General features: G+C 43.7%; 1 annotated feature.

Annotated features, from left to right (window-relative positions):
* Positions 922-1,907: an enhancer, noted in NCBI's record as "H3K27ac-H3K4me1 hESC enhancer chr6:43918399-43919384 (GRCh37/hg19 assembly coordinates)". NCBI's record gives its function as "activates a minimal SCP1, AML or CMV promoter by ChIP-STARR-seq in naive and primed H9 embryonic stem cells {active_cell/tissue: H9 hESC(naive and primed)}" and the evidence as "EXISTENCE:reporter gene assay evidence [ECO:0000049][PMID:30033119]".

A 15,277-nucleotide genomic window follows, 5' to 3' on the forward strand; every position in this document is an offset into this window, starting at 1 on the left:
ACATCTCTTGTCTTTTCTGGGACTCACCCATCGGATTCACTCTTCTCTGCTGTTGGCTTGTCCCCCCTGTGGGGGAGAAGTTGGGGCTATTTTTTGCTCCAACAGAGCTAAAAGAAAGAATGCAATTTGAGGTCTTCATCCCTGAGATCTCAGCTCCTTCCTCCAGGGTGAGCCATGCACTGGTATTTGGCCTAAGTCCATTTTGCCAGATTTTGAACATGGACTTTCAAAATGGAGGGCTTTTTAGCACCCTGCACCCACCTCCTTCTATTTGGCCAAGATGGGCGAGGAAGGGCTCCACTGCAAAACCTGGTGTCTCTCCGGGTTCTCCAAGCCTTCCAAAGTGTAAAGCCATGGGATCCTTTCTTTTCCATGGAACTGCTTACCAGCAAACCGCTTTCCTGGAGTCCAGGACGCCCATCATCCTCAGGCCCACCTCCTTGTGCTCACTGCTGAGCCTTCTCAATGATAAGGCTACTGTCAGTGCCAGCTGATGTGGGTGTGGGCAAGGACCCCATTCAACTCCGCCTCGTTTGTTCAACAATCAAGTATTATGGGCATGTTCTAGGCCAGACCCTCCATTAGGTTCTGGGATCGCAAAGCAGCCTCCAACCCAGCTCTGGAGAAGACGCACGAAGGCTTCATGAAGGCTTTGCCAGGAGGGGCTGTGAATCAGGCAGCTGCACGCGCCCAGGCCACAGGGTGGGCCACTTCTGCGAGTTTTCTCTCTGCCAGTTTCATGACCTCCATCAGGTCTCTGGCTCCCATCCTGCCAGCTCTGGGTTCTGAGATGAGTGGAGCCTTTGTCTGATGGGTAGACTAAGCCTGAGACCCTAGAGGCATCACTTCTTTTCTCAAATGTTTAAACGGGAGGGGCATGGGGGTAGGAGCAGTTAGGGAGAGCCAGGGCACAACCCCAGGTCTGTGTTCTCCCAGCCCAGGTTCTTTCTATTGTTCCCCAAGCCCTCAGCCCCGGTCTCACTCCCTTACTCCTCACCTACTTCTATCTCACTGTTTTCTAGAAAGAAGAGGCAGTAGGAAGAACAGGGCTCTATATCAAGCCCTGTTGCTGAGTGGACTCATATCTCATCAGTCTTGTCCCCCCAGGCTTGTCTCCATGTTTAGCAGTCCAACCTGTGCATGAATGACTAGAAATCAAGAGGAAGGCGAGCTGTGGCCATGTGAGAGGTATGGTTCCCGGCATTCCACGTTCAGAAGGAAGTGGGCATCATCCAGCTGTTGGGTTCCAGGACAGGCCCTTGAAGGGAAGGGGTGGCATGGGCATGCAGATGCAGAGGGAGAGGAGAATGCAGGGGGTGAATTGGGAGAAGCCCCTGTTTGCAGTTTGCAGTTTTCCTGCAACATGTGGTCTTACCTGCCATGAGCTGGGCAGGCAGGGCAGCAGCTGTGCTAGCCTGGGAAGGGCAAGTAAAGCCTGGAATGGTCAGGGTTCATAGCAAGCAGGGCCCAGCTCTCCAGCAACCTCTCCCAGGGCAGGAGGCATGGGCTCTGGAAGTCTCCAAGTCTTCCTCTGTACATGTGGGTCCCCACATCTGTTCTCTGCAGGCAGGAGACACATTCTCAGCCTGAGAGGGAAGTTGGGCTTGTCCCTGCTTACAGCACCTCTCCCTGGCGGGCCCAGCTGGCCCAGAGGTGAAGGGTGAGCAGGCAGGCAGCCTTGGCAGTCCAGAGGAGCAGCAGCACACCCTGGGGGCGGCCCGAGCCCTGGCAGCCAACTCTGCTGTCCTTGCAGTGCAGCCAGAGACAGGAGGGGGCTGCTCAGGGTCCTGCTCTGAAGGATGGGGCTGGAGTTTGACATACTTAGCTTGGGTCGCACAGGAGATAGGGGTGCCCTGGGATGAACCCCTCTGCCTGGCTGCTGCAGGGCGGCCTAGCAGCAGCTGGAAGAATCAGTTCTGGGCCAGGGCCCTGCCAGAGCTTTCACCCCCACCCAGGGTAGAGCACCTGGAAGTGCCCCTCAGAGACAAGTCCCTTGATCTCTTGGGGCCCCCATTCCCTCAGGCAGCTCATGGAGGCCTCTCAGGGCTAAATGAGATCATGCGGATGGCGTGGTTAGGACAGTCTGACACAAGGGCAGTGTTTGTGAGTGTGAGTTGCCGCTACTGTGGTGGTGTCATTAGTAATATTCCTCTACTCTAGGCCACTCCCCACCCCTGCCTGAGGCAGCTCTTGTCTGATGCCAACTGAGATTAGGGTCATTTGGGTGAGGGCCATGAGGCCGGACTTTGTGTGTGGGGTGGGGGTATGGGGGAACTCCCCACAAAGAGGCGGCTCCTTCTGGTGGGGCTCAGGGAAGAAAGAGAAGGCCTCAGACAAGATGCTGGATTTCAGGAGGTGGGAATCCTGACTCCCAGCTCAGCCTCTGAAGGTGCTGGGTGTCTGAGATGAGTCTGTGTTGCAGGAGTGAGTGTCATGGGGCTTTGGCCACAGAGATGCCACCCAGAAGCCAGCAGAGGCACCCTGTAGGGGGCCTCCAAGTGGAAAAAGAGCAGGCTTAGGCAATGCATTGTCAGCCACACCACCTCAAAGGCCTTATCTCTCTGAGTTTACTGCCTTTGGCTTTTTAAATACTCCAGCCTGGTCCCTGGTGCTAAAAAGAATTAAAGGACAGCACCTGTGTCCATCATTCATTCATTCACTCCTTCCTTCTTTCAGTGCCTGTAAGATGTAGGATCAACAAGACACACGCCTGCCCTCAGGCTGTGGTGGACACTCCCTTGAACAGGCTCATACCTCTCCCCACAAGACCACTGTGAGATGGCATCAGAATCTGGCGAGAGACCCCCATGGGGCAGATCCAGGCACCAAGCTGCCGCTCTTAGTCAGGAAGGTACTTCCAGTGCCAATTTTGGGAGTTCTGGGCTCATCTTTATTAAACAGGTGGCATTTCCATACTGTCCCATTATCCATCAGGAAAATGGAAGTTTCCTGTTCCTTCTCTGTGTCCACATTTGTGGACATTGCCAAAGTTCTGACAATGGCCTACCACCAGCCCCTACAAAATCTAGTCCCTCCTACTTCTCTGATCTCACCTCCCACTACTCTCCCTCATTCATTCCACACTGGTCTCCTTGCTATTCCTCCAATAAACAGCTCTGTTTCCACCCCGGGGCCTTTGCATGTGCTGCTCCCCCTACAGGGCATGTTCTCCTCCAGTCATGCACATGGCTCCCAGTTTCAAGTCTTTACTCAAATGTTATCCTCTCAGGGTGGCCTTCCTTGACCTCCCCATTTAAAATTGCATCACACCCTACACCCTTCACTCCTGTCCCCTTTCCCTTTATCTTTCTCCAGTGCACCTACCACCCTCTAAAATTGTGTTTAATGTTTGTCACCCTGCACTTGAATGCCAGCTCCATGAAGTCAGGGACTTTTGTCAATTTTGCTCACTGCCGTTCTAGTGCCTAGAACAGGGTCTGGCACATAGAAAGTTTTCAGTAAATATGCTGAATAGGAAAGGGAGGCAATATTCAGAATCTACAAACCCCAAGGAGACTGCAGCATGGTCTCCATGGGGGTGGCAAGTGGCCAGTAAGTCTTGCTGGGGGGTGACCTGACCTACAGCCATGGGCACATGAGTGGAAGGGCTGCAAGGCAGGGTGCCGAGGGAAGAGCCAAGGGTCATGCCCCTTGTTCCCTTAGTGCCACCTCATTCTGGATGCAGCTTGATGTGTCTGTTAGGAAAGGGAAGTTACCTTAACTGGGCACCTACTATGTGCCTGGCAAATTTCATGCACTTCCCCTTTACAGCAGCCCATGAAGCAGCAGAGGAAGAAACCAAGACCCAGAGAGGTTACTTAACTTGCCTAGAGTCACAGAGCTAGTAAGGGAGGGAGGAGAACTCACACCTAGGTCTGATTCCTTGCATTACTGTCTACCCCGGGGATGGTGAGAAGGACTCCATAGGCTCAGTTGGAAGAATTAAGAACTTGTGATTCTGCAGAGCGGTCTCCATGGGGACAGCACGGGTTGATGGGGTGGGCTGAAGCAGCCTGGGCTCCCATATATGCTGTTAGGCACTTCAGTTCCAACCATGGGAAAAATCTAGGCCCTTTAGCTCCCATCATGGGGTGAATCCCCTACCCTGGGTGAGCGGTGGGAGTTTCTCAAGGCCATCTCAGGGGTCAGGGACAGCTTGACTCAGCTCCTGCTGGCTGGCAGCTCCCTCTGCTGGACCCAGCCCCAAGGACGAGCTCAGACACAGGGACGCCTCCGTCTGTCTGCACTTGGGCTCTGGCAGCCCCCCCACATTGCATGCGGGGCAGTCACATGCAGGGCACCTGCCAGGTCCTCAACGTGTCAAGGGACAGGATCTTCCAGAGGACCTAATCTGGGTGACCTGGGAACCTTACATGGGGAAGAGAATAGGAAGGAGCTTTGACCACCGCCACTACCACACTCAGCCCAGACACAACGGCTGCATCTGCAGACAGGGGCTGGGTCTCCTCATGGGGCAGGGAGCTCCCTATAAGCAGGGGCTGACTCTCCCATCAGACTGGAAACTCCCTGAGGGCAAGGGTTCTGTCTTTCTCCTTCAGACTGGGAGCTCCTGGTTTGTCCCTCTGCTCACCTGTGATAGAAGCCCAGCTTAGCCCCCCAGGCTGGGCCAGCCCCCAAGGCATCCTGGGGCACTTTCTCAGCAGCCTGGCCACTCCCAGCCCCCAGACACCTGTCCCCGCCACTCTCCCCACTCCCTAGGCTCCTCCACCCTGCTGTCAGAGCAGAGCTGACACTGGGTAGTGCTGGTAAGTGCCACCCTGACCTCAGCAGCCCTGGAGGCAGTGCAGTGAGTGGCCTAAAGAGCTGTGCCAGGGATGGGACGTGACTGCCCCCCTGAACTCAGCTGCAGGCTTGGCCATGAGGAAAGCGATACCTCAGGGAGGCGGAGTGACCAGTGACATCAGCGTACGTGACTGTCAGCCCAGCTCTCCCCTCTGCCCTCCACCCTCCCCCACCCCACAGTGCCTGCCGAGCACACTGACCTTCAGCTCACGGGCACAGGCCTCTCTATGTGCCCGCTCCAAGGAGAGGGGCAGTGCCCAAGGGGATGGGGCTGCTCTCTGACTCCTTGTCTTCTAAGTGAGTGCTCAGGGGGTGGAGGAGAACACAGGCCCCAGCCCTCTGCAGCCTGGGCTTCTGGATCAGGAGCCAGCTTCTTACTGGGTGACCCTCCCCGGCAGCCCTGCCCTGAGGAAACTGATCATTCTCTTGGCTCTGCGAGACCTTCCTTCTGAGTGTCTGGCAGGCTTCTAGTGACTTGAAGCCAGTGTAGAGGGCAACTGGCTTCCCACCCCGAGCCTGCTGATGGAACTGCCAGGCCTGCATCCCTAGGGGCAGAGTCCCTGCCCAGATGAGCAGTGCTGGCTGTCCCAGGGAAGCAAGTTCAACTACCTTGGATGACCACCATTTGTCCCCGAGATGGCTTCTGCAAAAGCCTGTCTAAGTGCCCCCCTAGACCCCACCCAAGGAGTGCCAGGTCCAGAGCTCAGCATTCTATTATAGCTTCCAGCCTGGGGAAGACCAGTCAGAGACACCAAAAACTAGACCACAGTTGCCAAATTTGTTCCCTTGTGCACTTTTGTCAGTGAATATATCATTGTGCATCTCAGTATAGGTATATTTCTTTATTTAAAAATTATGTATGTTAAGGCCAACATTGCAGGTAGGCTGAAGTGTAATACTAGTTGTGGCAAGAAAAATCATCAAAACAGCAAGACATCTAACAGGGACATCCAGGAGCACGAAAGCCATAGTGAGCCTTGATGAGCTCCCACCTACCCCTGACGATGTGGAAGGTTGTATGCACACTGGGGGAGACTGAAAGAGCTTGGCTATCTACTCATCCCTGGCTGAGCATACAGAGAGTTAAATTCAGGGGAGACCTGTGAACCCCCTGAAGTTTGAATATGTTCCCCAACCCACATACAGATCCATTGGCAGAGGGTAGAAACCTTATGAGATCAAGGTATTTAAGCATAATCTACCTCTGACCAATCACTGGCTGAACACTAAGTTATGCTGACCCAGGGGCAATTCCTAGGAAGCCAGGCTGAAAAATTAAAACAAAAATTAAAAATAAAACAAAACTGAGCAGAGATATCAGCGGCCTCACACTGTGAGGAAGACAGATTCCATAGAATCAGCCTAGGCAAATCCCTAGACAACCAATCAACCAACAAAAACCTCAGCAACAACAACCCAGGTGGTGGTGGTGGTGCTGGTTGTGAATCAGCATTCAGAATTGCTACAGTGTATTATCAAAAATGTCTGGTTTTCAGCAAGAAACTGTAAGACATGCAAATAAACAGGAACGTGTAATCCATTCAGAGGGAAAAAGCAGTCAAGAGAAACTGTCTTTGAGGTGTCCAGATGTTGCATTTGACAGACAAAGACTTCAAAGAAGCTATTATAAATGTTGTCAAAATAACAGAACCCATGTACAAAGAATTAAGGAAATACTCTCATCAAATTATTCATCAAATAGAAAATATCAATAAAAAGGTAGAAATTATGTATATTTTTGAAAAGAACTGGAAATTCTGGAATTGAAAAGTATAACTGCAATGAAAAATTTACAGCAGGGGTCTAACAGCAACTTGGAACTGGAAGAATAAAGAATCAGAAAACCTAAAGATAGATCAATTGAGATTATCCAAGCTGAAAAACAGAAAGTAAAAAAGAACAAGGAAAAATGAACAGGGCCTCAGAGATCTGTGGAGCATTGTCAAACATATCACTATACACATAATGGGAGTTTCGGAAGGAGAGAAAAGGGCAGAAAAAATACGTGAAGAAATAGTGGCCAAAAAGCTTCCAAATTTGATGAAAGGCATTACACATTCAAACAAAGTGCAAATAGGCTAAATACAAAAAGATCCATAGACAAACACCATAGTAACCCTGTTGAAAGACAGAGACAGGGAAAATCTTGACGGCAGCAAGAGAAAAAGGATGCATTACATAGAAGGGAACTACAATATAATTAACAGCTGATTTCAGATCAGAAACAATGGAGGCCAGAAGGAGGTGGGATGGCATATTCAAAGTGCTGAAAAGAAGACAAAAACTGTCAACCAAGTAGTCATATCTAATACAAGTATTCCTTTAAAATGAAACTGAAATAAAGACATTCCCAGGTAAACAAAGGGTGAGAATTTGTTGTTGGCATGCGTGTCTACAAGAAGTACTCAAGGAAGTCCTTCGGGCTGAAAGGAAATGACATCAGACAGTGACATGAATCCACTTGAAGAAGTAAAGAACACACGAAAAAGGTAATTACATAGGTAAATGTAAGACACTATAAATACATTTTTCTTTTAACTTATCTAAACTACAATTGCATAAAATACTAATTATAAAATTACTATTGACCCTTGAACAACACAGGTTAGAACTGCACAGGTCCATTTATACATGGATTTTTCTCAGTAAATATATTGGTAAATGTTTTGGAGATTTTGCAACAATTTGAAAAAACCTGCAGGCAAACTGTGTAGCCTGTCAATATCAAAAAAAAAATAAGAAAAAGGCAGGTATGTCATGAATGCATAAAACACGTGTAGCTACTAGTCATTTTATCATTTACTACCATAAAATGTACACAAATCTAATATAAAAAGTTAATAATTTATCAAAATGTACACACACAAACACAGATTGTAAATGACACTATTCATAGTTGAGAGTAATGTAAACATAAAAATACAGCATTAAGTTATAACTGCATAAAATTAACTGTAGTGTATGCTGTACTGCTATAATAATTTCGTAGCTACCTCTTGTTGCTATTGTGGTGAACTCAAGTGTTGTAGGGCTTAAAATGCCATGCGATGTTAATCATCTCTGCATGAGCAGTTCATCTCTCCAGTAAATTGTGTATCACAGTAAAGAAAGATCTCTTGCTGTTCTCACATATCTTTCATTGTATTTAGTGCAATGCTGTAAACTTTGAATAACACCATGGGATCTATACGAAGTGCCACTAGTGATGCTGGAAGTGCTCCCAAGAAGCAGAGGAAAGTCATTACATTCAAGAAAAACTTGAATTGCTTGATATATACTGTAGACTGAGGTCTGCAGCTGTGGTTACCCACCATTTCAAGATAAACGAATCCACTGTAAGGACCACCGTGAAAAAAAGAAAAGGAAATTTGTGAAGCCATCACTGCAGCTATGCCAGTAGGCACAAAACCTTGCACTTTTTGTAAAATGTCTTTTTATCAGCTTGTATGGTGAGTGCAGGATTGCTATAAGAAAAGTATACCTAATATTCAAGAAGTGAAGTAATTATATGACAAGTTAAAGCAAAAGGAAGGTAAAGACTCTAAAGCTGGAGAATTTAATGCCAGCAAAGGATGGTTTAATAATTTTAAAAAGAGGTTTGGCTTGAAAAATATTAAGATAACAGAAGCTGCTTCTGCCAACCAAGGGGTGGCAAATTCCCAGAATTAAGAAAATCATTGAGGAGAAAGGATATCTGCCTGAACAGGTTTTTAATGCGGAGAAAAGTGACCTATTCTTGAGGAGGATGGAAGAAACACCACAAAGAACAGTTATTAATAAGAAACGGAAGTGAGCACCAGGACTTAAGCAGGAAAAGATAGGCAAATGCTATTGTTTTGTGCAAATGCAGTTGGGTTTATAATAAGCACTGCCTTTATCCATAAAGCTACTAACCCTTGAGCCTCAAGGGGAAAAGGTAAACAGCTGCAGTCTTTTGATTGTACAACAAGAAGGCCTGAATTGTCCCAGCAGTGGGGGTTCCCACCTCTAATCCCAACACTTTGGGAGGCCCAGGCAGGATCCCTTGAGGCCAGGAATTCAAGATCAGCCTGGACAACATGACGAGACCCTGTCTTTACAAAAAGAGAAGAAGAAGAAGGAGAAGGAGAAGGAGGAGGAGAGGAAGAAGAAGAAGAGGAGGAGGAGGAGGGAGAGGAGGAAGGAGAAGAAGAAGGAGAGGAAAAATTTAAAATATTAGCTGGCATGGTGGTGTGGGCCTGTAATCCTGGCTACTTGGGAAGCTGAGATGGGAGATTGGTTGAGCCCAGGAGTTCAAGGTTACAATAAGCTATGACTGCACTACACTCTACCCTGGGCAACAGAGCAGGATGCTGTCTTTATTTTTAAAAAATAATAATAAGAAGAAAGCCTGAACAACAAGAACACTTTTTCTGGATTTGTTCAATGATACTTTGTCCTTGAAGTCAGGAAGTACCTTGACATTAAGGGACTGCCTTTTAAAGTTCTTTTGATATTAGGCTATACCCCTAGCTACCCAGAACCCCATGACTTCAATACTGAAGGTGTCGAAGTGATCTATTTGCCCCCAAAATGATGTCTCTAATTCAGCCGCTAAATCGGGGGGATCATAAGGGCCTTTAAGGCTCATTACACTTGGTATTCTATGGAAAGGATTGTCAACGCTATGGAAGAGAACCCTGATAGAGAGAACAACATGAAAGTCTAGAAGAATTACACCTGTGAAGATGCCGTTGTTATAGAGAAAGCTGTGAAAGCCATCAAGCCCTAAACAATAAATTCTTGCTGGAAAAGACTGTGTCCAGATGTAGCGCCTGACTTAACAGGATGTACAAATGAGCCAAACATGGAAATCATGAAAGAGGTTGTGTGCACGGCAAAAAAAAAAAAAAAAAAAAAGGAGGAGAGTGAAGGATTTCAAGATATGGATCTTGGAGAAATTCAAGAGCTAATAGACACCACACCAGAGAAATTGACAGAAGATGACCTGATGAAGATGAGTGCTTCCAAACCCATGCAAGACAATGAGGAAGAAGACATAGAAGAAGCAGTGCCAGAAAACAAATTGACATTAGACAATTTGGCAGATGAGTTCTATTATCCAAGACTGCTTTTGACTTCTTTCACAACGTAGACCCTTCTGTGATATAAGCACAAAACTAAAGCAGATAGTGGAAGAAGGATTAGTATCATATAGAAACCTGTTTAGAGAAATGAAAAAGCAAAAAGGCAGAAAATATTATGTATTTCCATAAAATTACACCAACTATGCCTGCCTTTCCTGCTTCCCCTTCCACCTCCTCCACCTCTTCCATCTCTGCCACTCCTGAGACAGCAAGACCAAGCCCTCATCTTCCTCCTCCTCCTCCGCCTACTCCATGTGGAGACGATCAGGATGAAGACCTTTATGATGATCCACTTTCACTTAATGAATAGTAAATATATTTTCCTTGTGATTTTCATAATAACATTTTCTTTCCTCTAGCTTACTTTATTGTAAGAATATAGTACATACTACATATAACATAGAAAAATATGTGCTAACATACTGTTTATGTTATTAGGCTTCTGGTCAATAGTAGGCTAGTAGTGGTTAAATGTGGGGGGAGTCAAAAGTTATACGTAGATTTTCAACTGTGAAGGGGGTCAGTGTCCCAGCCTCTGCATTGTTCAAGGGTCAATTGTATATTGTTGGGTTTATAACATATGAAGATGTAATATATATGATAATAATAGCACAAAAATGCTAGAGAGTAGAGCTATATTGGAGCAAGGAAAAGACAACAGAAAATAACTCAAATCCAGAGGAAAAAATGAAGAGCACCAATATGGTAAATATGTGGGTTAACATAAAAGATTCTATAAGTTTATTTTTCCCCTTTCTTCCCTAAAATTCCTTAAGAGACATAAAATGACACAAAGCAATAAACCCAACATTGTCTTGTTGGATTTGTAACATATATGGATGTAATACACACAACAGTAATAGCACAAAGGATGGGGAAGGGAATGGACTTATATTAGAGCAAAGTTTCTATAATTTATTGAAATTGCATTAGTATTAATCTGAAATAGATTGTAATAAATTATAATGCATGTTATAACCCCTAGAATGAGAACTAAGAAAATAACTCAAATATATAATAAAACAACAACAAAGAGTTTAAAAGGTACACTAGAAAAATATTTAACACAAAAGAAGGCAATAAAGGAAAGCTGAGAAAAGAAAGACATGAAACACGGAAAAAAAAGAGCAAAACTTCAGAGACAAATCCAACCATATCAATAATGACACTAAATGTGAATGACTTAAACACTCCAATCAAAAGTCAGAGATTATCAGATTGGACTTAAAAACAAAATCTATTTATATGCTGTCTTTAGAGCAAAAGACATACATAGGTTGGAAGTAAAAGAATGGGAAAACATAAACCTACACATATAAATATATAAAAACATATGCAGATAATAACCATAAGAAAGCTAGAGTGGCCATATAATTATTAGCCAAAAAAGACTTCAACACCAATTATATTTGTATTTGTCTAATATAATTATTTGACAAAACAGACTTTAAAACCAAAAAATGATAGTAGAGACAAAGAGTGACATTATATAATAATAAAAGGGTCATTTCATCAGAAAGACATAATAATTAAACACATATCCACCTAAAACAGAGCTCCCAAAATACATGAAACAAAACTAACAGAAACAAAGGATGAAATAAGATAATTCAACAATAATAGTTGCAGATTTCAATACTCCATTCTCAATAATGTATAGAACAACTAGACAGAAAGCCAGCAAGAATATACAAGACTTGAGCAACACCATCACCAACTTAATCTGCCATCTAGGGAACGCTGTCCCCAAAATGGCAGGAATATACATTCTTTTCAAGCGCGCAAAGAATTCACCAGAACAGACCATATACTAGGCCATAAAACAAGATTCAATGAGTTGAAAAAAATTAAAATCATACAAAGTATGTTTACTACCACAAAAAATACATTAGAAATAAACAACAGAAGAAAATTTAGAAAATCCACAAATATTTGGAAATTAAACAAAACATTTCTAAATAATAATGGGTCAAAAAAGAAATCACAAGGCAAATTTAAAAGTATTTTGAACTGAATGAACACAAAAACAACATATGAAAATGTATAGAATCTAAATCAGTGCTTAGTAGTAAACTTATGCCTTTAAAAACCTACATTAGCAAAAAAAGAGAAAGATGTCAAATCAATAACCTAAACTTCCACGGTAAGAAATCAGAAAAAGAAGAGCAAACTAAACCCAAAGCAATCCCAAGTAAGGAAATAATAAAGATTAGAACCGAGATTAATAAAATAGAAAACATAAAAACAATAGAGAAGAATCAATGAAACTCAAATGTAACGGTCAATAAAATTGTCAAATGTTTAGCTAGACTGACCAAGACAAAAAGAAAAAGACACAGATTATTGAAATCAAAACTGAAGGAGGGAACATCACTACTAACCTCACAGAAAGTAAAAGAATGACAAAGAATACCATGAATAACTTTATACAAACAAATTAGACAACTTAGATGCTTAACATCATTAGCCATCTGAAAAATGCAAATTAAAACCACAATGAGACATCACTTTACACCAACTATCATGATACGGAGGAATAGGAAGCCTCATACTCCGCTGGTGGGCACATAAAATGGTGGAGCCACTTTGGAAGATACTTGGGTAGTTTTTGTTTGTTTGTTTGTTTGTTTTTGACATGGAGTTTCACTCTTGTTGCCCAGGCTGGAGTGCAGTGGCGCGATCTTGGCTCACTGCAACCTCCACCTCCCAGGTTCAAGCAATTCTCTTGCCTCAGCCTCCCGAGTAGCTGGGACTACAAGCATCTGCCACCATGCCCAGTTTATTTATTTATTTATTTATTTACTTATTTTTGTATTTTTAGTAGAGAAAGGGTTTCATCATGTTGGTCAGGCTGGTCTTGAACTCCTGACCTCAAGTGATCCACGTGCCTTGGCCTCCCAAAGTGCTGGGATTACAAGCGTGAGTCACCGAGCCCAGGAGATATTTGGGTAGTTTCTTAAAAGTTAAACATAAATGTATCACGTGACGCAGCAATTCCACTCCTAGGTATATACCCAAGAGAAGTGAAATTGTATGTCCACACAAAAACCATGAATATCCATGGGAGCATTAATCATAACAGCCAAAAAGTGGAAACCACCTAAGTGACCACCAACTGGTGAATGCTTTGAGAAAATGTGGTGTATTACACAACAGAATACTATTCAGCCATAAAGAAAAACCAAACACTGATAAATATTACAACATGGATGAACCTGAAAAACATTATGTTAACTTCAAGGACACCAGACATAAAAGACCACATATTGTATGATTCCATTTATATGAAATTTTCAGGAGAGGCAAATCTACAGAGACAGAAAAGTAGATTCATGATGGTGGCCTGGGGGTCAGGGTGAGAACCAGGAATGACTGCAAAGGGTCAGAAGGGATTGCTTTTGGAGTGATGGAAGTGTTCTAAAATTGCTGGATTATGATGATGGTTGTACTACAAATCATTGAATTGTGCACTCAAAATGGGTGGATTTTATGGTATACAAGTTATACTCATAAAGTTATTTTTAAAATTATATACTTGTACTACATATAAAAATATATATTTATGAAGAAAGAAATATTAAAGGATAAGATAAATATAACTTGCTGGGCTTGGTGGCTGACACCTGTAATCCCAGTACTTTGGGAGGCCAAGGCAGAAAGATTGCTTAGCCCCAGGAGTTGGAATCTAGGTTGGGCAACACAGTGAGACCCTGTCTCTACAAAAAATAAGAAAATTAGCCAGACATGGTGGCCCATGCCTGCAGTCCCAGCTACTCAGGATGCTGAAGCAAGAGGATCATTTGAGCCCAAGAGGTCAAGACTGCTGAGTCATGATCATGACACTGCACTCCAACCTAAGTGACAGAGCGAGACTCTGTCTCAAATATATATATATATATAAACTTATACATATGTATTATATATATATAAACTTATACATATGTATTATATATATAAACTTGTACATATGCATTATATATAAACTTATATCTGTATTATATAAATATATATATTTATATAATATATAATACATATATAAACTTATATATATTATATATGTATATAATATATAATACATATATAAACTTATATATGTATTATATATGCATATGTATTATATATAAACTTATATATGTATTATATATGTATATGTATTATATATAAACTTATATATGTATTATTATATATTATATAATATATATTATATATAAAGTATATATTATATATATTATATAATATATAATATATATTATATATAAAGTATATATTATATATAATATATTATATAATATATATTATATATCAAGTATATATATATAATATATAACATATATATTATAAACTTATATATATGTATTATATGTATATAAGCTCTTCCCACTTTGGAAATCATTGACTTCAACTACAAGGAAGGGCATGTCGTCCACCGGTTAAGTTTGTGGGCCCTGGAGCCAGGCTGCCTGAGTTCAAATCTTGGCTCTGCCACATACTAGCTGAGGGACTTCGGGGAAGCAATGTAACCTCTTCCGGGTTGGTCTTTCATTTGTAAAATGGGATGATGAGTATAATAGCAATTAAGCAGAATAGCCAGGGGCTCCTTGAAAGGACAAAGACAGCATGGCCACTCCCATACCATCCCTAGGATGACCACTGGGTGCAAGCCCATTGCCCCTTAGAAGATTCCTCATCCCCAACTTCCAGGCAAGGCAGACTCACCAACCAATCCATAAAGCACCTACTGTGTGCTTAGCACCAAGCAGGTAGGTTTGAAGGATGATGCTCCCCTGACCCCAGACATACACAATATGCTGACTGCTTAATGGGTTCACAGAGTCTCGTGAGAACTTCTCTCCATTGTGCAGGATGGGGAAACTGAGGGCCAAAGAGAGGACACTAGGTCTTTAGAACACAAGCAGGACTTTCTTCCCAGGGCCGGAAAGAACTTTGAAAAGGAAATGTCAAAAGCACAATGGCAATTCTGAGCCAAGCAGGGAGGAAGGAGAGAGGGGAGCTGAGAGGGAATGATAGTGCATGGAGGAGCAGGCTGTGGATGTGGGAGTGTATAAGCTGCAGCCTGGTGCTCTGCGAGGAGCTGCCAGTGAGCCACCAGCCTTTGCAGAGCAGAGAACTCAGGTGGTGGGAGAGCTGAGCCCAACTCTTGCAGATCACTTGGTTGAGGGGAGGACTCACTGGCTATCCTGGCTCCCTGGCCAAGCCCCATCCCCACGTCCACCCACTCCCACCTACCTTGCCCAATCTGCACTGGGCCCTGGAGGATGTTGCCAAACACTAGGTCATTGACCTTGGGTGTGGGGTGGGCACAGCAGGGAAGGTGGGGGGTGGGAGAGGGGCCAGCAATCCCTGTTTGA

Source organism: Homo sapiens, chromosome 6 (genome assembly GCF_000001405.40).
Source record: "Homo sapiens chromosome 6, GRCh38.p14 Primary Assembly".
NCBI lineage: Eukaryota > Metazoa > Chordata > Mammalia > Primates > Hominidae > Homo > Homo sapiens.